The 20,683-nt window shown below is 44.5% G+C and overlaps 2 annotated features.

The window, feature by feature from the left end:
* Positions 7,953–8,196: a silencer, noted in NCBI's record as "fragment chr5:79568395-79568638 (GRCh37/hg19 assembly coordinates)". NCBI's record gives its function as "represses an EF-1alpha promoter that drives an FKBP-Casp9 reporter gene in an ReSE screen in K562 erythroleukemia cells {active_cell/tissue: K562}" and the evidence as "EXISTENCE:reporter gene assay evidence [ECO:0000049][PMID:32094911]".
* Positions 20,028–20,322: a silencer, noted in NCBI's record as "tiled region #10881; K562 Repressive DNase unmatched - State 18:Pol2". NCBI's record gives its function as "represses a minimal TATA promoter and a strong SV40 promoter by Sharpr-MPRA in K562 cells {active_cell/tissue: K562}" and the evidence as "EXISTENCE:reporter gene assay evidence [ECO:0000049][PMID:27701403]".

Genomic DNA, 20,683 nt, shown 5'->3' with positions numbered 1-20,683 from the left:
AGCCGGGCATGGTGGCGGGTGCCTGTTGTCCCAGCTACTTGGTAGGCTGAGGCAGGAGAATGGTGTGAACCTGGAAGGCGGAGCCTGCAGTGAGCCGAGATAGCACCACTGCACTCCAGCCTGGGCGACAGATTGAGACTCCGTCTGAAAAAAAAAAAAAATTAGCTGGGCATGGTGGCTCGTGCCTGTAATCCCAGCTACTTGGGAGGCTAAGGCAGGAGAATCACTTGAACCTGGAAGACAGAGGTTGCAGTGAGCTGAGATCAAGCCACTGCACTCCAGCCTGGGCAACAGAGCAAGGCTTCGTCTCTAAAAAAAAGGAAATAAAAAGAAATAAGGTAAGCCCCTGAGGTCATAAGTGTCCAGAGAAGCCCAGAATCTTAAAGGAAATAGTTAAGCTGCATAAGAAATTGAGTAGCATTTGATTTTGCTCATGAGAGGGAAGTGTAAGGAGGAGGGACTGGGTATAGGGAGGCCCAGATCCCATTCTCAGGTGTGCCATTAGCTGAGCTCATATTTTACCTTGGGCCTTTCACTCTGGACTTCATAGTTGTTACCTGTAAGATAAGTGGACTGAACTAGATGATCATGAGGACTACTCCTACACATGTACAGTGGTCACGGGTTAGTGACCAGACTTTGAAGGAACAGTGATAAACCTAGAAAAGTGAACTACTCTTCTGGGAGGAGCTGACTTGGGCAAGGTTGCTCATTTGGGAGAAATAACTAATGGCATATTACCTAGACCTGGACAAGCAGCCTGACTCTTTCCTTGTGTTATTTTCACACAAAGTCAGAGCCACATCTAGCTTCTAATTATGCAGAACTTGAACAAGCGTTGAATGTCTTAGGTAGGGTCCATTTACCAGATTAAGGAAGTTTCCTTCTATTTCTAGTTTGTCGTGAATTAATATTGACTTTTATCAAATATGTTCTCTGATTTCCACATCTATTGAAAGGACCATGTGGCTTTCTCCTTAAATCTGTTAATCTGGTAAATTAAATTATGTTGATATATTTCCTTCCTTCCCTTTCTTTTCCTTTCTTTTTTCTTTTTTTGAGACGGAGTCTTGCTGTGTCACCCAGGCTGGAGTACAGTGGCACAATCTCAGCTCACTGCAATCTCTGCCTTCCAGGTTCAACCGATTCTCCTGCCTCAGCCTCCCAAGTAACTGGGATTACAGGTGCACACCACCACTCCCAGCTAATTTTTTTGTATTTTTAGTAGAGACGGGGTTTTACCATGTTGGCCAGGCTGGTCTTGAACTCCTGACCTCTGGTGATCTGCCCACCTGGGCCTCCCAAAGTGCTGGGATTACAGGCGTGAGCCACTGCACCCGGCCTCTTTTTTCTGAGACTGAGTTTCGCTCTTGTCACCCAGGTTGGAGTGCAGTGGCACAATCTCGCCTCACTGCAACCTCTGCTTCCCAGGTTCAAGCGATTCTCCTGCCTCAGCCTCCTGAGTAGCTGGGATTACAGGCGCCCACCAACACACCCAGCTAATTATTGTATTTTTAGCAGAGACGGGGTTTTAGCATGTTGGCCAGGCTGGTCTTGAACTCCTGACCTCAGGTGAGCCACCCACCTCAGCCTCCCAAAGTGCTGGGATTACAGGCATGAGCCACTGCGCTCAGCCTCTTTCTTTCTTTTTGAGACAGAGGCTCACTCTGTCGCCCAGGCTGGAGTGTAGTGGTGTGATCTGGGCTCACGCAACCTCTGCCTCCCAGGTTCAAAAGATTCTCCCAATTTACCTCCTGAGTAGGTGAGATTACAGGCACCTGCCACCACGCCTGGCTAATTTTTGTATTTTAGTAGAGACAGGGTTTCACCACCTTGGCCAGGCTGGTCTCCAACTCCTGGCCTCAAGTGATCTGCCCACCTTGGCCTCTCAAAGTGCTGGGATTACAGGCATGAGCCACCAAGTCTGGCCATATTGACATATTTTCTGTTGTTAAACCATCATTGTGGGGTGGGGAGGAGATGGAAGATTTAGGTCAAAAGATACAAAGTAGTAGATATGTGGGATGAACAAGTCTAGGGATCCAATGTACAACATGAGGACTATAGATAATAAAGTTGTATTATATTAGACATTTTTGTTAAATAAATAGATTTTAGCTGCTCTTGTCACACACAGAAATGTAACTATGTGAGGTAAAAGTTATGTTAATTTGCTTCACTATAGTAACCATTTTACTATCTATATATATCCTGTTACATCATGTTGTAAACCTGAAATATACACAATAAAATTTATTTAAAAAAAAAACACAGGGGACGGTGGCTCTCACTTGTAATCCCAGCACTTTGAGAGGCTGAGGCAGGAGGATTACTTGAATCCAGGAGTTCAACATCAGCCTGACCAACGTGGCAAGACCCCCTCTCTATAAAGAATAAAGAAATGTAGCTAGGCATGGTGGCATGCACCTGTAATCCCAGCTACTGGGGAGGCTGAGGCATGAGAATTGCTTGTACCTAGGAGGCGGAGGTTGCAGTGAGCCGAGATCATGCCACTGCACTCCAGCCTGGGCAACACAAGGAGACCCTGTCTCAAAACAACAAAAACAAAAAACCCAAAGCATCCATCATGGAATTATTATTATTATTATTTTGAGATGAAGTCTTGCTCTGTTGCCCAGGCTGGAGTGCAGTGGTATGATCTTGGCTCACTGCAACCTCTGCCTCTCAGGTTCAAGTGATTCTCCTGTCTCAGCCTACCGAGTAGCTGGAATTACAGGCATGTACCACCATGCCCAGCTGATTTTTATATTTTTAGTAGAGACTGGTTTCACCATGTTGGTCAGGCTGGTCTTGAACTCCTGACCTCAGGTGATCTGCCCACCTTGGCCTCCCAAAGTGCTGGGATTACCGGGCTGAGCCACCATGCCTGGCTATGGAATTATTTTTGAGTCATGTTATTTTTTTCTAGGATTGGATTTGCTTGTCTTTTATTTGGGGATTTTAACAGTATGTTTATGAACAATGTTTTTCATTTTTGCTTTTTAAGAACAAAAGAGAATTTATTGGCTCATTTAACCGGAAAATTCAGTCATAATTCCATCTATGTTTATACATGAGAATGATTTTTAATTGTGTGTGTGTGTGTGTGTGTGTGTGTGTGTGTGCTGACCTTGTCTGGTTTGAGTATCAGAGTTAAACAAGTCTTGGAAAATGATTTGTGTAACTTTCCTTCTTTTCTATTCTCTGAAATACTTTGTGTAAGATGAAGATCAGCTGTCGTCTGAAGTTGTATTAAACACACCTCTGAAAATATGAGGGTGAACCTCTCCTTAGGCAAGATGGTGTCTATATATCATGGACAAGCTTCCCAGTAAAACAACTACACAAGCAGGAGTGAATATTTTTAAAATTATGTAACTGTATTGCTGAGCTAGCCAAAAAAAAAAAAAAAAGGCAAGGGAAAGCAGGAATTCAGAGGAAGTAAGAAACCAGACCCTTCCCTCAGGGCATCTCCAAATCTTGGTGAATTTGAATTTTAGTTTTGTTGGCTGAGTCGAATGCAGGAGGGTAGGTGACAAGGCCATCTCAAAGTCTTTTTCTTTTTTTTTTTTTTTTTGAGATGGAGTCTCACTCTGTCACCCAGGCTGGAGTGCAGTGGCGTGATCACAGCTCACTGCAACCTCTGCCTCCCGGGTTCAAGTGATTCTCCTGCCTCAGCCTCCCGAGTAGCTGGGACTACAGGTGTGTGCCACCATGCCTGGCATATATATATATATACACACACACACACACACACACACACATACACACACACACATATATTCACATACATATATATACACATACACATATATACACACATACATATATATACACATACAGATATATATATACACATACATATATATATATATATATATATATTTGTGTGTGTGTGTGTGTGTGTGTGTGTGTGTGGAGACAGTCTTGCTCTGTCACCCAGGCTGGAGTGCAATGGCGCGATCTTGGCTCACTGCAACCTCTGCCTCCCAGGTTCAAGCGATTCTCCTGAGTAGCTGGGATTACAGGCGCGTGTCACCATGCCTGGCTAAGTTTTGTATTTTTAGTAGAGATGGGGTTTCATCATGTTGGTCAGGCTGGTCTCGAACTCCTGACCTCGTGATCTTCCCACCTCGGCCTCCCAAAGTGCTGGGATTACAGGCGTGAGGCACCGTGCCCAGCCTCAAAGTCTAACAGAAGGTTTCCTCATAAAGCTGAGTCTACAAAGGCTAAGCCCCTTGTGTGCAGGTAAACTAGAAATAAATGCTCTTAAGGGAACAGCAAGGAAACTTGCTTATCTTGACCTTGTTGCTGAGTGGAGGGAGGGGGAAATGATTTCCTTGAAAATGTAAAACCAGTTTTTATTTGGTCACAAGGCTGCCTAGAGTAAATTTCCCAGTTGTCTTTGAGACTAGATATGGTCATAGGACTACATGTTCTAGCCAATGGGATGTAAGTGGAAGTGATTCTTGTATTTCATTTAGGAATTTTCCATGTATGTCCATGAATGAGATTTTAGTGTTCTTTTCTTGTGCTGACCTTGTCTGGTTTGAAAGTTCTTAGAGAGGACAAAGGTATTGGGGTGAATAGCTAGCAGTTTCTGCCACAGGAGTGCAAGATGTGAATGAGACATAGAAAGGGGTGTCATGGAAATAGAATTTTCACATGAGCAGGAGGTATTTTTATTTTATTCTTTCTTTATTTTTTTGAGATGGAGTCTTGCTCTGTTGCCCAGGCTGGAGTGTTGTGAAACGATCTTGGCTCACTGCAACCTCCACCTCCTTTGGGAGGCCGAGGAGGGTGAATCACCTGAGGTCGGGAGTTTGAAATCAGCCTGACCAACATGGAGAAACCCTGTCTCTACTAAAAATACAAAATTAGCCGAGTGTGGTGGCACATGCCTGTAATCCCAGCTACTCGGGAGGCTGAGGCAGGACAATCACTTGAACCCCGGAGGCGGAAGTTTCAGTGAGCAGAGATGGTGCCACTGCACTCCAGCCTGGGCAGTAAGAGCGAAACTCCATCGCAAAAAAAAAAAAAAAAAAAAAAAAAAAAGTTGTCTCAGGAGCATCAAGAGCATTGGTGAAGCAGCATTTCCTAAAAACTGCTCCACTCTTGTCTCAGAAATTTTATTCTACATCACTGACATCCATTCTTCAAGTTTTGATGCTGGCACTTTCTTGCTGTTACCAGAAGGTGTCAGGCAAAAACAACCATGGTAAGCCCACCACTTGGCCAACACAGAGGGTAACATGCATCTGAATTTCAGAAATAGTGGGATGGCGGGGAAAGGAGCATGTCAGAATCAATGAAGTATAGTAGTGTGAAGGAAGAGGTAGGAAAAGAGACCTACATGAAACTAGGGCAGAGTACAAGCTATAGGACAAATCTATATGAAGCTAGAACGAAGGCTGGACCCAGTGGCTCATGCCTGTAATCCTAGCATTTTGGGAGGCTGGGGCAGGAGGATTGCTTGAGCCCAGGAGTTCAAGGCTGCAGTGCCTTGAATTGCAGCTGTGAATAGTACCTGCACTCCAGCTTGGACAACATAAACCTCATGTCTTAAAAAAAAAAGTAATACAACTATAAACAATAGTACAAGCAAGGTTTTATTCCTTAATTTGGGTAGGAAATTAAGAACCACACCAACCTCTTTTTTTTTTTTTTTTTGTAGATGGGGGTCTCGCTATGTTGCCCAGGCTGGTCTTGACCTCCTAGAGGATCAAATCATTTGAGCCCAGGTCAGGAGTTCAAGGTTACACTGAGCTATGATTACACCACTGTACTCTGGCCTAGGTGACAGGGTGAGACCCTGTCTCTGAAAAATAAAATATAAAAATAAAATAGTATGGCCAGGCGCAGTGGCTCATGCCTGTAATCCCAGGACTTTGGGATGCTGAGGCGGGCAGATCACAAGGTCAAGAGATTGAGATCGTCATGGCCAACATAGTGAAACCCTGTCTCTACTAAAAATACAAAAATTAGCCGGGTGTAATAGTGTGTGCCTATAGTCCCAGCTACTCAGGAGGCTGAGGCAGGAGAATTGCTTGAACCTGGGAGGGGGAGGTTGCAGTGAGCCGAGATTGTGCCACTGCACTCTAGCTTGGCTGACAGAGTGAGACTCCATCTTAAAAAAATAAAAATAAAATAAAATTATATAGTATATATAGGTGCAGGGATAGATAAATAGACAAATAAAATGTAATAAAGAGCCCAGGAAACAGACCCATGCATATATAGAAACTTGATTCATGACTTAGCATTGCAGATGAACAGGGAAAGTATATTTAATAATAGGTACAGGAACAATTGGCTGGCCACACTGGGAGAAAATTAGATCCCTACCTAAACCTATACACAAAAGTAAATCACAGAAGATAAACACTGAAAGCAACACTATATAATTTTAAAAATATATACATGAGGAATATCTTTATTCTCATGCAGGAGAATATCTCTCTACAACTTTATTTAGGGAAGGATTTCTTAAGACAAAAGGAATCTTCTACATTAAAGTGAATAATTTCTCGGCCAGGTGCGGTGGCTCATGCTTGTAATCACAGCACTTTGGGACACCGAGGTGGGCGGATCACTTGAGGTCAGGAGTTCGAGACCAGCCTGGCCAACATAGCGAAACCCCGTCTCTACTAAAAATACAAAAATTAGCCAGGCGTGGTGGTGGGCACCTGTAATCCCAGCTACTCGGGAGACTGAGGCAGGAGAATCACTTGAACCCGGGGGGTGGGGGTTGCAGTGAGCTGAGACCGTGCCATTGCACTCCAGCCTGGGTGACAGAGCGAGACTCCGTCTCAAAAAAAAAAAAAAAAAGAAAAAGAAAAAGAAAAAAGAAAAAGTGAAGAATTTCTCATAATCAAAAAACACTATAGGTGGCATGTGCCTGAAGTCCCAGCTACAGGAGACTGAGGTGGAAGACCACAGAGGGAGGATGGCTTGAGCCCATAAGTTCGAATCCAGCCTAGGCAACATAGCGAGATTCCCTACCTCTCTAACAAATTTTTTAAAAACCAACTAAATACTATAAAGACAGTAGCCACACACTAGGAAAAGACATATATAACTGACCAAAGATTAGCAGTGTTTACATTAGTAGTAATACTACAATGATGATAATAATAATAGCAAAAAGTTATATAAAACTTACTATACATCAGGATTTTTTTTTTCTTTTGAGATGGGAGTCTCACTCTGTGGCCCAGGCTGCAGTGCAGTGGCGTGATCTTGACTCACTATAACCTCTGCCTCCCAGGTTCAAGCCAATTCTCCTACCTCAGCCTCCCAAACAGCTGGGATTACAGGTGTGTGCTACCACACCAGGCTGATTTTTGTAGTTTTAGTAGAGTTGGGGTTTCACCATGTTGGCCAGGCTGGTCTTGAACTCCTGACCTCAGGTGATCCACCTAACCTCAGCCTCCCAAAGTGCTGGGATTACGGGCATGAGCCACCACACCTGGCTACATCAGGACTCTTTTAAGCATTTTCCAACATTTTCAACACTTGTAATTGTATTTTTGATTTTTACAATCTAGTAGATGTAAAATGGCTTATCATTGTGATTTCACTTTGGCTAGCTCAGCAATACAGTTACATCATTTAAAAAATATTTATTCCATATCATTTACTTGATGTCTCTCACCACTCCCATTTATTTTACTGTGGGGAACTTGTTCCTTTTATTCCTTCGCCACCGCTTAAAAGAATAAGTATAGATCTGAGAAAGAGGGGAGATAAAAGTTGTCATTCAGTTTGCTTTTTTTTTTTTTTTTTTTTTTGAGACAGTGTCTCACTCTGTCACCCAGGCTGGAGTGCAGTGGCACAATCATAGCTCTCTCCTAGGTTCAAACCATCCTCCCAACTTGGCTTCCTGAGTAACTAGGACTACAGGCACATGCCACCATGCCTGGTTAATTTTTTTTATTTTTATTTTTTGAAGAGATAGAGTCTCATTATGTTGCCTAGGCTGGTCTTGAACTGCTGGCCTCAAGGAATCTTCCCACCTTGGCCTCTGAATGTGCTGGGATTACACAGCCTGCCATTTCAAAACCCCAATCCTCTTGGTTTTTGTTTTTTGTTGTTGTTGTTGTTTTTTTTTGTTTCTGAGACACTCTCACTCTGTGGCCCAGGCTGGAGTGCAGTGTTACAATATTGGCTCACTGCAACCTCCGCCTCCCGAGTTCAAGCAATTCTCCTGCCTCAGCCTCCAGAGTAGCAGGGATTACAGCACACGCCACCACGCCCAGCTAATTTTTGTATTTTAAGTAGAGATGGGGTTTCACCATGTTGACCAGGCTGGTCTCAAACTCCTGACCTCAAGTGATCAGCCTGCCCCGGCCTCCCAAAGTGCTGGGATTACAGGCGTGAGCCACTGCACCCGGTCTGTTTTTGTTTTGTTTTGTGTTTTGTTTTTTGTTTTTGAGACAGAGTTTCGCTCTGTTGCCCAGGCTGGAGTGCAGTGGCATGATTTCAGCTCACTACAACCTCCGCCTCCCGGGCTCAAGTGATTCTCCTACCTCAGCGTCCTGAGTAGCTGGGACTACAGGCATGCGCCACCATGCCCGGCTAATTTTTTTTGTATTTTTAGTAGAGACGGGGTTTCACCATGTTGGTCAGGCTGGTCTCGAACTCCTGACCTCAGGTGATCTGCCCGCCTCAGCTTCCCAAAGTGCTGGATTACAGGCGTGAGCTACCATGCCCGGCTCCTTTGTTTTAAAATTATTTCACCAGAACAAAAATATAAGGCGAGACTAACTGTGTGAGCTGTCCTCCTGAAGTGCCCTTGTGAATCTTGCCCTGCATTGGACTTAAGAGCAGAGATAAGGCTCCAAATGTTTCCAAACATACAAGTTTGGAAATAAGTGGGTCATGATGGGATTCCCTTGCCCTGGCATCCTATTACACAAGAGATAGTGGTTCTTGGTTCAGGCTCTTCCCCGCAATCAGAGGCCCCCAATGTCAACTATGGTACACAGGGGTCACAGGGGTTTACATCCTAAAATTTTGATAGCTCTGAACAAATGTTCAAATACCTGTTTGCCTGCAGGTACTTCCTGTGTGAATGTTGCCAGAGATGGAGAACTCCTTGGATTAGGTTAAGGTAGTCTCCTCTTGAGGGTTCCCATGGAGCAGAGCTTAAAGGGAAGATGGAGGCAAACATCACCTATTGTACAGCTGCTCCAGCCAGGCTGACCACCAGCTTCTGGCTGCACTGAGCGCATAGGCAGAGGCTGCAAGCATTTGACATTCTTAAAGACATCAACACGAAGAGGCTTTACAACGTCTACTGGTATTTTTTTCCTGCCAAGCAAAGAACCTTATGCTTATTCTTAGGGTGGCAGGTAAGACATTCTACTCTGTCTCCTATTTTTTCCTTTTTTTTTTTTTTGAGATGGAGTCTTGCTCTCTTGCCCAGGCTGGAGTGCAGTGGCGCAATCTTGGCTCACTGCAAACTCTGCCTCCTGCGTTCAAGTGATTCTCCTGCTTCAGCCTCCCAGGCACCCGTCGTCATGCTCAGCTAATTTTTGAATTTTTAGTAGAGACAGGGTTTCACCATGTTGGCCAGGCTGGTCTCACCTGACCTTGGGTAATCTGCCCACCTTAGCCTCCCAAAGTGTTGGGATTACAGAAGTGAGCCACCACGCCCGACCTGTCTCCTGTTTTTTCAAAAGCCCTTGTGTTCCAAAGGCATTTGAAAATAATAGTACCAGGAAACCTTGTACCCTTTTTTTTTGAGACAGAGTCTTGCTCTGTCGCCCAGGCTGGAGTGTAGTGGCACATCTCAGCCCACTACAACCCCCCGCCTCCTGGGTTCAAGCAATTCCTTTGCCTCAGCCTCCCGAGTAGCTGAGCTGAGATTACAGGTATGTGCCATCATGCCTAGCTAATTTTTGTATTTTTAGTGGAGATGGGGTTTCACTATGTTGGACAGGCTGGTCTTGAACTCCTGGCCTCAAGTGATCCACCCTCCTCAGCCTCCCAAAGTGCTGGGATTACAGGCATGAGTCACCATGCCTGGTTGAAATCTTATACTTCTAAATGAGAAACCTCTCAAAGTTATCTCCTTGATAAGGGTGTGAAGTCATCGCCAGTAGCTTTTTAGGAGCTAGATGGTAAATCTGGAGGCTGACAACAGCAATTTTCATAAATTGCTACCTAAAGTTTTTGAGAGAGAATCCAGTTGAGCCTTTTCTCTGCTCAGTGGCCAGCCTTTTGCTTTCTTCCTTCTCTTATTTTTACCCTTCCACTTTCAAGTCTACAATGTGGCTTTAACTCTGTGTTTTCCACTAATTGGTCCCATGTCCCAGCAAGCAAAATTTGATGCCTGTTGCCTTCCTCAGATTACTGTGGCTCAAGTCACATACACCTATGTTGAATTTCATATTTTGAGTGGTAGACCATAAATGAACGTGCTTAGGACACCATTTCCTTCTTTAGAAATATAGTCTGAAGATGGAATGGAAGTCTACTGTGGTTTTTTTGTTGTTCTTGTTTTTGAGACAGAGTTTCCGCTCTGTTGCCCAGGCTGGAGTTCAGTGGCACAATGTCAGTTCACTGCAACCTCCACCTCCCAGGTTCAAGCAAGTCTCCTGCCTCAGCCACCTGAGTAGCTGGGGTTACAGGCGCGTGCACCACCAAGCCCAGCCAATTTTTGTATTTTAGTAGAGACGAGGTTTTACTATGTTGGCTAAGCTGGTCTTGAACTCCTGACCTCAGGTGATCCGCCCCCCCACCTCGGCCTCCCAACGTGCTGGGAGTACAGGTGTGGGCCATTGCACCCGGCCAGTCTGCTTCTTTTAAATAAAGCAAAGGCATAAGAACATTTTCTTGGCCCAGCACAGTGGCTCATGCCTGTAATCCCAGCACTTTCGGAGGCTGAGGCGGGCGGATCACGAGGTCAGGAGTTTGAGACCAGCCTGGCCAACATGGTGAAACCCCGTCTCTACTAAAAATACAAAAATTAGCCGGGCGCAGTGGCAGGCGCCTGTAATCCCAGCTACTCGGGAGGCTGAGACAGGAGAATCGCTTGAACCCGGGAAGCGAAGGTTGCAGTGAGCAGAGATCATGCCACTGCACCACTCCAGCCCGGGTGATAGAGCAAGACTCCGTCTTGGGGGGTTAAAAAAAACAACATTTATTCTTGCCTTCAGTTTGTAGAATTAGCATGGAAAAAAAAAACACAAAAAGAAAATATCCAAAATTATTGATTGAGTAATGTCATTCAATAAATGCATACTTTTTCTTTTTTTTCAAGAAGTTGTTTCTAAACTTCTCATTTGGACTTCAGAGTCATTAACTTTCTTCATTGAGTGTTTTCTCCCTTTTCATTAAAGAGGGAAACAAAATGAAATGGTTTATGAACATTTTCTTATCATCTTCTCTCAGCCATTTAAAATTCTCCTTCTGTTGAATCTAAATGTTCTGTAACTGAAATCCCATTATGAATAAATAGGCTGGACTGTCTTCCTGTGAAACCTCAGGGAGCTCCTTCCGCCTTTCTAACCTTCATAGAACAATGTAAACATCTTCCAAGTGAAACCCGCAATGAAGGCCTTTTGTTGATTTTCATGGAACTATATGGTTGCACAGGCAGTTAGCTGGCGGTGGTTATTTTAAAACCAAGCACCTCCAAAGAGAGTTTACTTCAAAGTATGCATCTTATAAAGTGAATTTAAAAGAAACTGACAGGAGTCCTCTCTTTAAATACACGTTAAAAAGATAAGTCAACACACAGTGCTGTTATTTGAAGAAATGGGCTTACCTCTTGTACTTCCTCTCAGGAAATTAATTAGAATGGATTAACCAAGAAAACTGAAAAGAGAGACTTGTCTCGCCTTTGTGTGTTTTTTTCTTTCCCCTCTCAGCCTCAAACATAGCTGAATGTGTTTACTTGAAATCAGGATGTGGAAAGTTTTTTGAATTGATTTTAAAACCAAAGAAGCCAGAATAATTTTCCATGGTATTCAGAATCACAGGAATGAGCTCTGTTCAGAAATGGTTTTTGGGTTTTTTTTGAGACGGAGTCTCGCTCTGTCGCCCAGGCTGGAGTGCAGTGGCGTGAACTCGGCTCACTGCAACCTCCGCCTCCTGGGTTCACGCCATTCTCCTGCCTCAGCCTCCCGAGTAGCTGGGACTACAGGCACCCGCCACCACGCCCGGCTAATTTTTTGTATTTTTTGGTAGAGACGGGGTTTCACCGTATTAGCTAGGGCGGTCTCGATTTCCTGACCTCGTGATCCGCCCGCCTCGGCCTCCCAAAGTGCTGGGATTACAGGCATGAGCCACTGCGCCCGGCCCAGAAATGTTTTTTAAATTTTATAATAAAGTTGAATAGTGACTATAATAATTTACACAAATATTTATTTCTAAGTGAAGAAAATGGAGACTTTAAAAAAAATTCAAAGATTATTATGTATTTTACTTAAGGAGGCAAAGCCTCTCTAAATAGTTTTCATATATATGAAAAATATATAATATATATTATATATTTTGAGACAGGGTATCTCTCTGTCACCCAGATTGAAGGGTAGTGGCATGATCCTAGCTCACTGCCGCCTCCTGTGAGTTCAAGCCTCCTGTGAGCTCAAGCGATATTCCTGCCTCAGCCTCCTGCATAGCTGAGACTACAGGCATGCACCACCACACTCTAATTTTTAAATTTTTTTGTAGAGACAGACAAGGTCTCACTATGTTGCCCAGGCTGGTCTGGAACTCCTGAGCTCAAGCCATCATCCTACCTCGGCCTCCCAAAGTGCTGGGATACACGCGTGAGCCACTGTGCCGAGTCCAGTTGCCTTCACACAAAGGATTATAACTCAAAATCTGAGTGTACCTGATTCAACTTACAAAAATATATCAAGAGTAGTCTCCTAATCTAAGAGGACTTAAAAAATTAATTTGTGGCCGGGCGTGGTGGCTCACGCCTGTAATCCCAGCACTTTGGGAGGCCGAGGCGGGCGGATCACAAGGTCAGGAAATCGAGACCATCCTGGTTAACACGGTGAAACCCCGTCTCTATTAAAAATACAAAAAATTAGCCGGGCGCTGTCGTGGGCGTCTGTAGTCCCAGCTACTCGGGAGGTTGAGGCAGGAGACTGGCGTGAACCCAGGAGGCAGAGCTTGCAGTGAGCCGAGATCGCACCACTGCACTCTGGCCTGGGCGAAAGGGCGAGACTGTGTCACAAAAAAAAAAAAAAAAAATTAATTTGTTCCCAGAAAGATTGAACGGGGCTGCAAAACCTGTTGAGCAACTCTCTACTGTCTTCATTAATTTGGAATTTGGGTTCCCTGGGGTGTGTAAAGGAGATTTTCCTTTGTACTATCTACACTCAAAGAACTTGCCATGCAAATTATTAATGTGAAAGGCATTAAGGGGAGAATCTTTAAGATACTAAGGCAAAACTGTTTTTTTTGTTTTTTTTTTTTGAGACAGTCTCACTCTGTCGCCCAGGCTGGAGTGCAGTGTCACGATCTTGGCTCACTGCAACCTCCGCCTTCCGGGTTCAAGCGATTCTCCTGCCTCAGCCTCCCAAGCAGCTGGGACTACAGGCGCCCGCCACCATGCCTGGCTAATTTTTGTTTTGTATTTTTAGTAGAGACGGGGTTTCACTATGTTGGCCAGGCTGGTCTCGAACTCCTGATCTCATGATCCGCTAAGCACCATTACAGTGCTTTTAAAGCACCATTTTTAAAACTTTAAAAGCACCATTTAAAACTTTTAAAGCACCATTACAGTGCTGAAGAATCATTAGCTTTCCACACTTACAAACTAACTGATGAGAAGTACAAAAGGATTTCTCTTGTTTCCTTAAGCAGCTCCCCTAAAAATCGTGACCAGGCAATACTTTGCTAGCCTATTATAGTCATTACTAAGAATTAGTAGTTACATTAAATTTTCTTTTTGCCTTTGGATAAACAGTTAAATAGTAAACCATTTTAAGGAGCTACTCCTGTCAAAAGCAGGTGGGAGGCTGCAGGAGGCACCAGTGATCTTGGGTGAGCTGGAGGGGTAGAGCCAAGCCAGAGAGGGATCTGGAGCATGGAGCACCAAGCTTTGTTTTGTAGAAGTTTTAGGACAAAGAAAAGGAGAAAGACGGTAGCTGGGCCAAAGAGAGGTTTGTTGTTTAATTTATGAAAAATCTGACCCAGTTTGTAGCTTGAGAATGATTCAATAGAAAGGAAGACCTGAAAATGCTTGGAAGAGAGGAAATAGGCGAGGTGATGGAATTAAAGGTAGATTGAAGGCAAAATTAAGAGATTAATGTTAACAAGAAAAATGAACAATTTTTAATCCTAGCACTTTGGGAGGCTGAGGCGGGTGGATCACCTGAGGTTGGGAGTTCAAGACCAGCCTGACCAACATGGATAAACCCCGTCTCTACTAAAATTACGAAATTAGCCGGGCGTGATGGTGCATGCCTGTAATCCCAGCTACTCGGGAGGCTGAGGTGGGAGAATCTCTCGAACCCGGGAGGTGGAGGTTGCAGTGAGCCAAGATCGCCCCATTGCACTCCAGCCTGGGCAACAAGAGCGAAACTCTATCTCAAAAAAAAAAGAAAAGAAAAGAAAAGAAAAATGAACAATTTTTATTTTAAGTTGGGCAGCTCAAGGAAAGTCAATACAGGGTTAAAAGCAGAGGTTCTGGAGTCCACAAACTGCTGATATGATGCTTCACCAAAATGAGGGAGTAAAGCAAGAAGGAGGACACCAGCTCCAGAAAGCCACAGCAGCAGAAGAAGGTGGCAAAGGGGAGTCCCAGGATGAAAGTGCAGCAGCAACCTGGAGGAATCCAGACTGCAGTAGTGCAGAGGTCTCTGGGACCAAGACAGGGCCCTTGGGGAAAGTGGAATGACAGACTGTCTGACATGGATGATCATCTGGGAAAAAAGGATTTTGACAGGCCTGGCACTGTGGCTCACACCTGTAATCCCAGGACTTTGGGAGGGCCAGGTGAGAGGATCACTTGAGGCTAGGAGTTCAAGACCAGCCTGGTCAAAAATTACAAAATTTAGCCATCTGTAGTCCTAGAGGCTCAGCAGGCTGAGGCAGGAAGATCGCTCGAGCCCAGGAGTTTGAGGCTGCAGTGAGCCAAAATTGTGCCATTGCACTTCAGCCTAGGTAGGTGACAGAGAGAAACCCCATCTCAAAAGAAGAAAAAAAAAAAAGATTATGACAGGCCAGTCATGGTGGCTCACGCCTGTAATCCCAGCACTTTGGGAGGCTGAGGCGGGGGGAAGCCAGCACTCGCTGAGGCCAGAAGTTTGAGACCAGCATGGTAAAACCCCGTCTCTACTAAAAAGACAAAAATTAGCTGGGCATAGTGGTGGGTGCCTGTAGTCCCAGCTACTCAGGAGGCTGCGGCAGAGCTTGCAGTGAGCTAAGATCGCACCACTGCACTCCAGCCTGGGAGACAGAGTGAGAGTCCATCTCCAAAAAAAAAAAAAAAAGATTGTGACAGATCAGATGGACAAGTGGAGAAGAAGCAAGAACAAGTACATAGAAAACCATTCAAGTAATATATAACCCAAGAACTTAACGCATGCTATGTGTTATTGTACTTCACTGTGTATAAATGTATGAACTCTCCTTATTTTACAGAGGATGAAACTGAGGTACAGAGAAATTAAGTCACTTCCTCAAGATTACAGACCTAACAAATGGTAAAGAACAAATTTCATTCCAGGGTCCAGCTCCAGGGGTTCTAACCCTAACCATTAGAATATACTGCCTCTAACAGGAGGGATGAAATTGGAAAATAAAAGTAGACAAAAAACGCTAATATTATATACTATGTGGCTATGTAATGCATAATTTTGACTAGACATGATTACATGTTGGCCGATAAATTTTATGAAAACCGTGATGTAATTAGATTGGCAAGGGGGCAGGTGAAAGTGGGTTGAGAATTCAGCCTAAATGGAACATAAAAGAAACTGCAAAATAAATGCTGCCCACACATCAGGAAATAACAGCAGAAGAACATTATTTGAAAATATGAGGCTGGGCACAGTGGCTCATGCCTGTAATCCCAGCACTTTGGAAGGCTGAGGCGGGCAGATCACCTGAGGTCTGGAGTTCGAGACCAGCCTGGCCAACATGGTGAAACCCCATCTCTACTGAAAAAAAGAAAAAAGGGAAGGGGAAGGGGAAGGGGAAGGGGAAGGGGATATTGGCTAGGCACTGTGGCTCATGCCTGTAATCCCAGCAGTTTGAAACCCTGAGGCGGGTGAATCACTTGAGGTCAGGAGTTTTGAGACCAGCCTGGCCAACATGATGAAATCCTGTCTCTACTAAAACTACAAAAATATTAGATGGGCCTGGGTGCAGTGGCTCACGCCTATAACCCCAGCACTTTGGGAGGCTGAGGTGAATGGATCATGAGGTCAGGAGTTCAAGACCAGCCTGGCCAAGATGATGAAACCCTGTCTCTACTAAAAATACAAAAAAATTAGCCAGGCATGGTGGCGGGTGCCTGTAATCCCAGCTACTCAGGAGGCTGAGGCAGAGAATTGCTTGAACTCGGGAGGTGGAGGTTGCGGTGAGCTGAGATCGCACCACTGCACTCTAGCCTGGGCGACAGAGCAAGACTACATCTCAAAAACAAAAAACAAAAAACTAAAAGGCCAGGCGCAGTGGCTCACACCTGTAATCCCAGCACTTTGGGAGGCCAAGGTGGGCAGATCACGAGGTCAGAAGATCGAGACCATCCTGGCCAACATGGTGAAACCCCATCTCTACTAAAAATACAAAAAATTAGCTGAGCGTGGTGGCGTGTACCTGTAATCCCAGCGATTCGGGAGGCTGAGATGGGAGAATCACTTGAACCAGGGAGTCAGAGGTTGCAGTGAGCCAAGACAGTGCCACTGCACTCCAGCCTGGAAAGTGAGCAAGACTCCGTCTAAAAAAAAAAAAAAAAATTAGCTGGGCATGGTGGCACATGCCTGTAATCCCAGCTACTCAGGAGTCTGAGGCAGGAGAATCACCTGAACCTGGGAGGCGGAGGTTGCAGTAAGCCGAGATTGTGCCATTGTACTCCAGCCTGAGTGACAGAGTGAGACTCAATCTCAAAAAATATATATATGTATATATTTATATATATGTATATATTTATATATATATATATACACACATATATATATATGGAGGTGAATAGGGGAAAACTGTATAAATGACTGAAAGTGGTTGCCTCTGGGGTAGGAACTAGAAGGTAAGGAATGGAGACTGGAGAGGATATTTTTCATTTTATTTTTTGTAATATTTGGACCCATTTTATGTCATTGTCAATTTGTAAACTTTTGACACTAAAAATTTTTACTCTAAAAATTAAAAAAATTGCCAGGCGTGGTGGCTGACACCTGTAATCCCAGCACTTTGGGAGGCTGAGGTGGGTGGATCATCTGAGGTCAGGAGTTCGAGACCAACCTGACCAACATGGTGAAACCGCGTCTCTACCAAAAATACAAAAATTAGCCAGGTGTGGTGGTGGGCGCCTGTAATTCCAGCTACTCGGGAGGCTAAGACATGAGAATAGCTTGAACCCAGGAGTTGGAGGTTGCAGTGAGCCGAGATTGCGCCATTGTATTCCAGCCTGGGCAACAGAGTGAGACTCCGTCACACACACAAAAAAAGGGCCAGGCACGGTGATGGTGATCCACACCTGTAATTCTAGTAGTTTGGGAGGCCGAGGCAGGTGGATCACGAGGTCAGGAGTTCGAGACCAGCCTGACCAACATGGTGAAACCCCATCTCTACTTAAAAAAAAAAAAAATTAAAAAACATTTTGCATATGCTGGGTGCAGTGGCTCACGCCTGTAATCTCCGCATTTTGGGAGGCCAAGGCAGGTGGATTGCTTGGCCTCAGGAGTTCAAGACCAGCATGGGCAACATGGTGAAACCCAGTCTTTACAAAAAATACAAAAATTAGCCAGGCTGTGATGGTGCATACCTGTAGTCCCAGCTACTCAGGAGGCTGAGGTGGGAGGATCACTTGAGCCTGGGAGGTGAAGGTTATAGTGAGCCGTAATGGCATCATTGCACTCCAGCCTTCCAGCCTGGGCAACAGAGAGAGAGACCCTGTCGCCAAAAAACAAAACAAAACAAAACAAAACAAACAAAAACCTGTGCATATATTAATTTAATAGAAATAAATGACAATATAGCTATCAGAGAAATGGGGTGAAGGCACTATAGGGCTCTGATTACTTTTTGCCTGGGGCTTGCAAATTTATAGCTATTTGTTTCTAAATGAATACTTTGTTGTTTACTTTTAATTGAAATTAATTAAACTTCGTCCACTGGATTGAGGTTCCTAGAGACCTCATAAGTGAAAATTAAAGAAATTTCTCCTTTTATAGTTAAAAACCAACAGAATGCTTCACTAGGTTTTTTTTCAAAGTTGTTCATGTTTTAAATAATTAGAATAATTGGAAATTAAATTTGTAATAAAGTTGCGATCTTGGCTCACTACAACCTCCGCCTCCCAGGTTCAAGCGATTCTCCTGCCTCAACCTCCTGAGTAGCTGGGATTATAGGTGCCTGCCACCACATCCGGCTAATTTTTGTATTTTTAGTAGAGATGGGGTTTCACCATGTTGGCCAGGCTGGTCTCCAACTCCTGACTTCAGATGATCCACGCACCTGAGCTTTCCCAAAATGTTGGGATTACAGGCGTGAGCCACCACGCCCAGCCAGTGTGTGGTGTTTTTAAACTCAACATTGAACTCTACCAAAAAAATCTTCAAATTCAGGAGGAGAAAAAAGCAAATTATAAGCTAGATATTTATGTTATATATACTTATATATAATTATGTTGTATAAAAGGAGCTAATTCAGTTAATTTAAGAAAATTTTTGTGGGGGAAATATTTCACATGGTCTGCCAAGAGCTATACAGTCTTATTAAAACAGGTCTGTTACTGCTGGTTACTGAAAAAGTCACATCAAAAGAGCTTGACTGTAAAATTATCTACGTGTTATGAACATCAAGTCTCCCCTGAAAAAGTCTGCAGAGTACTTAAAATAAAAATTAAGGTGCCACTGTTTCGTGTTATGTCTGCTAACATTACCTCTACTCTTGTTTTTTTTTTTTTTTTTTTTTTTTTGAGACGGAGTCTCGCTAGGTCGCCCAGGCCGGAGTGCAGTGGCGCGATCTCGGCTCACTGCAAGCTCCGCCTCCCGGGTTCACGCCATTCTCCTGCCTCAGCCTCCCGAGTAGCTGGGACTACAGGCACCCGCCACCAGGCCCGGCTAATTTTTTATATTTTTAGTAGAGATGGGGTTTCACCATGTTAGCCAGGATGGTCTCGATCTCCTGACCTCGTGATCCGCCCGCCTCGGCCTCCCAAAGTGCTGGGATTACAGGCGTGAGCCACTCTGCCCAGCCTACTCTTGTTAACCAACCACGATGCAAAGGAAGCTATTAACCAGACCTTAAATAGTAACTGCAAAGTCCTCAGAGCCAGAAGGCAGGTAAACCTCCAGATCTGGCCACATTCCTTTGAAAAAACTCTGAGTGGGGAAAGGGAATGAGCCTGTATAGACTGTTTCTTTTTAATTTTCTTTTTCTTTTCAAGATGGAGCCTCATTCTGTCGCCTAGGCTGGAGTGTAGTGGTGTTTTCTCGGCTTACTGCAACCTCCACCTCCTGGGTTCAAGTGATTCTTGTGCCTCAGCCTCCTGAGGAGCTGGGATTAAAGATGTGCCGCGACGCTCGGCTAATTTTTGTATTTTTAGTAGAGAAGAGGTTTCACCATATTGGCCAGGCTGGTCTCGAACTCCCAACCTCAGGTGATTTACCCACCTCGGCCTCCTAAAATGCTGGGATTATAGGCATGAGCCACTGTGCCCGGCCTCTTTTTTTTAATGGACAGATCCTGCCTCATGTTTGTTTGTATAAATAGAAAAGAATGGTACCAGCTCCATGCAGAAACAGATGGCAGCCCAGGGCTCACACCAGTCCTTCTGTCCTCCCATTGGTAGACAGAGGCCTCTCCTCCAGATCCTTTGTGGGTGTGCATGGGCACCCTTGGAAATTTGATCTGGAGCTGGAACTGGAACTGGAACTGGAGCTGGAACTGGAACTGGAACTGGAGCTGCAACTGAAGTCTGGGCTTTGGTTGGAGCCTTGGCCTTGGACTTTGGCCGGCAAAACCAGCCTTGGCCAGGTGGGTTCAAGCATGCTTCCTAAGCTTGGGGTGGATGATTCAGGCAAGTTGATTGAATTTTCAGCTGATGTCTTTTGGTATCTTGAGCTTGACCATGTAGGGGTGAAGGGCAAACTTCCCCTTTACCCTCTGAAGTTTCACTGAAAATCAACCGACAAGGCAGATTAAAAGGAAAAAAGGCATACAAATTTATTTGATCATAGTTTTACATGCCATGGGAGCCTTCAGAATGAAGATCCAAAGATACAGCAAAATTGTCCATTCTTATGCTTACATTCAACAGAGTATGGACAGCCATGTAGAAATGTGACTGGACAAAAAGTATATTGTTACCAGAGTGGGGTCCTCATCCAGTCCACAAGAGAGGGTTCTTGAACCTCACGCAAGAAAGAATTTGGGGCAAGTCCATAAAGTGAAATCAAATTTATTAGAGAAGTAAAGGAGGTAAAGAATGGCTACTCCATAGGCAGAGCTGCAGCATGGGCTGCTCAACTAATTATAGTTATTTCTT

The sequence above is a fragment of the Homo sapiens genome, chromosome 5 (genome assembly GCF_000001405.40).
Source record: "Homo sapiens chromosome 5, GRCh38.p14 Primary Assembly".
In the NCBI taxonomy this organism is placed as follows: domain Eukaryota; kingdom Metazoa; phylum Chordata; class Mammalia; order Primates; family Hominidae; genus Homo; species Homo sapiens.
This window is presented reverse-complemented; position numbering and strand designations above follow the sequence as displayed.